The following is a 5577-nucleotide window of genomic DNA, read 5'->3' as shown; positions in this document are numbered from 1 at the left end:
CAAAATTTATTTAACACAATTTAATACTTAGTTAATTCTTTATACCAAAATTCCTCTTTAAAAAAAAAAGTGTAGTTTCTCTTTATGGACTTTGAAAAAAGATAAACAAATAAATAGCTAACAGATAATGAGCTGAAAAAATAAAAAAAAAACTTAGCTACATAGTAAGACAAATCAGTAAGTCTAGTAAAAATTAACCTTTATCTTTAAAGCAAGATAATCTACCTTAAATGGAAAAAATAGAAAATGGGCAATAAACCACACACCGACATTCAAAATGGATTGTTTAACATTTAGAGTAATTCTATTTGACATTATATATAGGTAATAATGTTGGTGAAATAAAGTAGCCACACTGTTTAATCTTTAAATCTCCTATATAAGCAAGAGATTGATACCACAATTCAATTTGGGAAGAAAAAAAAGACAACACAATACATACTAGTAGAAAGTGATATTCTGGTTAAATTTAACATAGCTTACTTAACACATATCTGTCTGAAATTCTAGTATAATTTGCCTTTTTGTATATTCTCAATATATTTAAAAGATTTTACTGTAATTCACAAACTGAGAGCATCGTCTTCTCATTGCCACCATCATCTCTTTATTTCTAAAAGTATAGATGACTGGATTCAAAACGGGAGTGATAACTGCATCAAAGATGGCAAGGAATTTATCAAGATGTGATGTGGGAAATGGAAAAATATAGAAAAAGATTAATGGCCCAAAGACCAAAACCACCACAATGACATGAGCTGACAGCATAGAGAAAGCCTTGAATATACCACCTGAAGATTTTTTCTGAACAGTCACCAAAATAAAGATGTAAGAGATTATGAGAATTAAAAAAGAAGCCAGAGAAATAAATCCACTATTGGCAGTAACCATGAATCCCAATGTGTAGGTCTCTATGCAAGCCAGTTTGATAAATCGAGGAAGATCACAAAAGAAACTATCTAATTCATTAGGGCCACAGAACAGCAGGTCTACAACAAAAGCCAACTGAATCACTGAGTGAATAATACCTATAATCCAGGAAATGACTAAAAACAAAATGCACCTTTGTGGGTTCATGATGGTCAGGTAGTGGAGAGGCTTACATATGGCCACATATCGGTCAAAAGCCATGGCTATGAGCAGCACCATCTCAGTTCCCCCAACTGCATGGATAAAGAAGATCTGAACTACACAGCCCCCAAAAGAGATGGTCTTGTGCTTCCTGAAAAGGTCATAAATCATCTTGGGAGCTGTGGAGGAACAAAATACCAAATTGATGATGGAAAGGTTGGCCAGCAGGAAGTACATGGGGGACTGTAAACGAGGGTCAGAGGTCACAGTTAGCACAATGAGGAGATTTCCCATCAGGCTTGACACATAGAACACTGAGAAAAAGAGGAAGAGGAGGAGCTGGATCTTCCGCGAGTCAGAGAGTCCCAGGAACACAAACTCAGAGACCACAGAGTGATTGGCTTCATCCATTGCCTCTGTCGGCTGTGACAACTCTCATGCTAACTGAAAGAGGAGAGTAAGGAGAAACTTTGATTTAGGACAAAAAGCATTGATGTTGGCAAAATCATGAGCAATTCATATGTTGTCAGAAAACTAGACAAGGGCTAATATATGCCTTTAGAGACAATTTCAGTCACAAAGCAACTCATATTCCTCTATTGTAAATTTTGTCACCAGAAAATACGTTGCACAGAATAAGAACTCCTTTACTTACTTGAATGGATACCTTTGTTTTATACACACACACAGACACACACACACACTTCAGCTCATGTCTTCACTCCACATTCTTCACTCAGCCTACATGCCTTTGTCATCATTACATCTCTCTAATTCTTCCCATTTTCTTCAGTACCCACTCTGTCTAATTCCTTTCTCCATGAAGTCCTCTTTGATACCCTTACCTTTATATACACTAAGTGGAAATAAATCTTGTTTATACTGTGGTAACCAAACCAAAAACCTTTATACTAATAGTGTTAATAGTGTTCTAAGAGTGATCTAACAAAGAACACTATTGAATTTCTGGTCATTGTAAATCATGTTTCTTCAACATGTCTTCAAATTATCCTTTTTAGACTTTTGCATGATAATAGTATAAATGGCATTTACATTCATAAAGGGCAACTCAGCTTGGAATAACTTAAGTTCCTTTCACACTGATTATCATCAGCAACCTTCCTACTGAAGCAATTTATTTAAGTGAATGATTAAATTCTAAATTGCTCCCTAGAAGCTGAAAGTTACTCTATCAATGTCTCCAATTTCCACTTACTCCTAAAACTGTTTTAATTTTTACACAAGACTTTTGTTTTATCTTTAAAATAACACTTTATTTTTATATATAAGGTTAGCAAAGATTTATATTAGATTATTCCTAGTGTTGCTAAAAATTTGGAAAACAGGTTTGTCCACTCATTGTTGGTACTACTGCCTTCCAGCCAGTCTTTCATGTTCTATCTCTATTTAAAACTTAAGGTCTTTATGTACCACACTTTGTATTAGTCCCCACTGAACACTTTTTTAAGCAGGGCAGAATAGTTGTTTAAATCTGATCTTTTCCATGAAGACAGAATTAAGCTCTCCACTTAGCTCACTCTTACAAAAGGAAAAAAGATTATCAGTGGTGATAAGCAACTCAATCCCAGTGTGCCTTTGCAGTGTTCTGAAGCTCATGATTGTGTTTAACACAGAGCACAGACCTCTCCCACACTCCTACTATTAAGCCTAGAATGTAACAAAAAAAGATACTCCAGAGATCATCTACTGATCAACTCACTCTGTCCTCTGCTCAGGTTGCTCAGCCCTGTGCTGCCCAACAGAAATGGGAAATGAATTAAAGTCATGTGAGCTTATCACCAATCCAAATGAGGATGATAATTCTAAGGTTTTTTAAATGTAGATCATTGTTTGAAGTCACTCCGATAAAGATGGGTAGAAAGGGCTCAGGACACCACTTAAAATATGAAAAAGAGGGACAGGAATGGACACTGGAGTTGCATGCTCCCCAAATTACTGTTCCTACTGCCATCAACAATACAGCAAGCCTTATAGAAGTCTGTTGTTATGACCTGAATGAAACTTTGCTAACGATTGTAAAATTCTTTCATTTTAGGGTTAAGAAAACCAAGGTACAAAGAGGGTAAATGACTCGGCTAAAGCTCCAGAACAAGTTGGTGGCAAATCCAGAATATGTTTGACTTTTGGTTTCCTCTGTACAGGTTATTTCCACTACATCATGTTTCTTCTTTTGTGATGATCTTTGTGTGCTGTCTGTGGCCCAGGAAACCGTAACATACCAAAACTAGTTTGTTTAGCATTGTCTAAAATTCCTCACATTTTACTTGCACTGGACTCAAATTTTCCACTCCGACTTTATTCTCTGCCTGGAGACCCACACGCAACACGTCTGTGCAAATGTCACTGGAATAACCTTTCCAATATTGAACATGAAATCATGACTTGACTCTACTCATTCTGCTGCCTTCTATATTTCAGTTGTTAGTTAATCTGCTGCAATTTTCGTGTTGAATAGCAGATAATTCATGACTCCTGGTTGATTAAATTCTCCCTCTCACTGTCCTGTGTGTTTCCATTTAAAGTTCTGATCTCCATCAAAGACAGTTTCTTTCCATTTAACCTACCTGGACCAGTGTTGAAATAGAGGATCACAAAATGCAGAGCTCCCTGATGTTATGATCATCACTTGGCATAAAAAGTCATGTGTAATACCTCCACAGGGGGAAAGGGAGCTAATTAGCAGCACAGAACAGTTACTGAAATGTTGCTATAGAGACCTGGGATTGCCATCCTGAGTACATTTGGCCAAGGGAATTCATTCTGTGCCATCCACGGAACCTTGGCCACAGCAATTAAAGGGGAAAGCTGGCAATGGGTCACTTGAAGGGAAGGAAGAGGAGAAACTAGGGACCTTTTGTGTATAAAAATTACAGAATTTTTTTTTTTTTTTTTTGACACGGAGTCTGCCCTTTCGCTCAGGCTGGAGTGCGGTGGCACGATCTCGGCTCACTGCAAGCTCCGCCTCCCAGGTTCACACCATTCTCCTGCCTCAGCCTCCTGAGCAGGTGGGACTACAGGTGCCTGCCACGCCCGGCTAATTTTTTGTGTTTTTAGTAGAGACGGGGTTTCACCGTGTTAGCCAGGATGGTCTCGATCTCCTGACCTCGTGATCCACCCGCTTCCGCCTCCCAAAGTGCTGGGATTACAGGCGTGAGCCATCGCGCCCTCCTGTTTTATCTTTTTACCTGCTTGTTTTCCTTATTTATGAGGGAAGAAACTCCGTAAGAAGGAAAATATATACTTTACAAAGGGTGAAATCAAGTTTACCATTGCGGAAGGAGGGAAGGAAGGAAGGAAGGAAGGAAGGAAGGAAGGAAGGAAGGAAGTGGGGGGAGGGAGGGAGGGAGAGAGGAAGGGAAAGAGGCCTCCAATGTGGCATCTAAAATGTGATCCATGCCCCACTAGGAAGGATAACTAAATTACAGGTAATAATAGGTACAGTTGTGTAGTCAACATTTGGTTAGTTCTTAATTGTGTGTGTGATATGGGGAGATGAATAAGGTGTTATAAAAGCAGCACACGAGGATGGACTCAAAATGCTAGTGCAGCTGAAATAGAGAAAATCAGTAATGGATTTAACCTCTCATAGATTAAGTTTTTTTTATTTATAAAACAAAATCAACAAAACAGAAAACCTCTGGTTATGTTTTATTTCTTTACATCAAAAATATGCAGAGAGTCAGTGAAAGGGCCACTGATAAATTCTAATTATACAGAGTATACTATATCACTTATCTATTGCTGCACAACAAAGTAGCTTAAATCAATAACATTTTACTTGCTCATGTGTCTGCAATTCAGGCTAAGCTCAGCTGGGCAGTTCTTCTGCTGGTCTCGCCTGGGCTTTCTCATGAGACGTTAGTTATCTGGCAGCTTGACTGGGGTTGGAGGGTCTATGATGGCCTTACTCACCTGTCTGAAGCCTAATGCGGGCTATAGACTGGGCCTCTCTCTCACAGGGTCTTTTATCATTCATTAGTCTTGCCCAAGCTTCCTTACATGGTGGTGGAGGATGCTATGAGTGGGTGGGCAAAGAGAGAAGCTACAAAGCAACTTATGCCTAAGTTCTGGAACTCATGCAACATACATTTTGTCATATTTCCTTCATCAAAGCAAGCATAACGCCAGGCCAGATTGAAGGTGGGGAAATAGACTCCACCTCTTCGCAGGAGGAGCTACAAAATATTGTAGCCATGATTTTCAATCAGCTAAATACTCCATAGCTAACAATTCTCAGTTGTATCGATTGACTAAGTTTCATTTAGAAATATTTTTTATATAGGCACGTGATACACATCCTATCCAGGGCTCTAAGGTGCTGTTACTCCAACTTTCACTAACTCAAAGGAACATCAGCTCTCTCCCACTCCTGCTTTTGTCTTAGATTCAACAGATTTGTAATAAGTAATTTTTATAGTTATTTTCTTAATGAGTTTATATCCCGATACAAAACTTCAGTTAAGTCACATGACCTTCTAGAGTCTT

At 38.4% G+C, this 5577-nt stretch overlaps 1 protein-coding gene across 1 annotated transcript; it reads right to left on the bottom strand.

Moving 5' to 3' along the window:
• Positions 1-314: 314 nt before the first annotated feature.
• OR4F6 (olfactory receptor family 4 subfamily F member 6) lies at positions 315-3693 on the bottom strand. The gene is made up of 2 exons (NM_001005326.2): positions 3657-3693; positions 315-1515 (listed from the first exon to the last, which is right to left on the bottom strand). The coding sequence occupies exon 2, from the start codon at positions 1480-1482 to the stop codon at positions 544-546; it is 939 nt and encodes a 312-aa protein (NP_001005326.1). The 5' UTR covers positions 1483-1515; positions 3657-3693; the 3' UTR covers positions 315-543.
• Positions 3694-5577: the final 1884 nt, after the last annotated feature.

The sequence above is a fragment of the Homo sapiens genome, chromosome 15 (assembly GCF_000001405.40).
Source record: "Homo sapiens chromosome 15, GRCh38.p14 Primary Assembly".
Lineage (NCBI taxonomy): Eukaryota > Metazoa > Chordata > Mammalia > Primates > Hominidae > Homo > Homo sapiens.
Note: the sequence above shows the minus strand (reverse complement) of the source record. Positions and strands in the feature narration are given on the sequence as shown.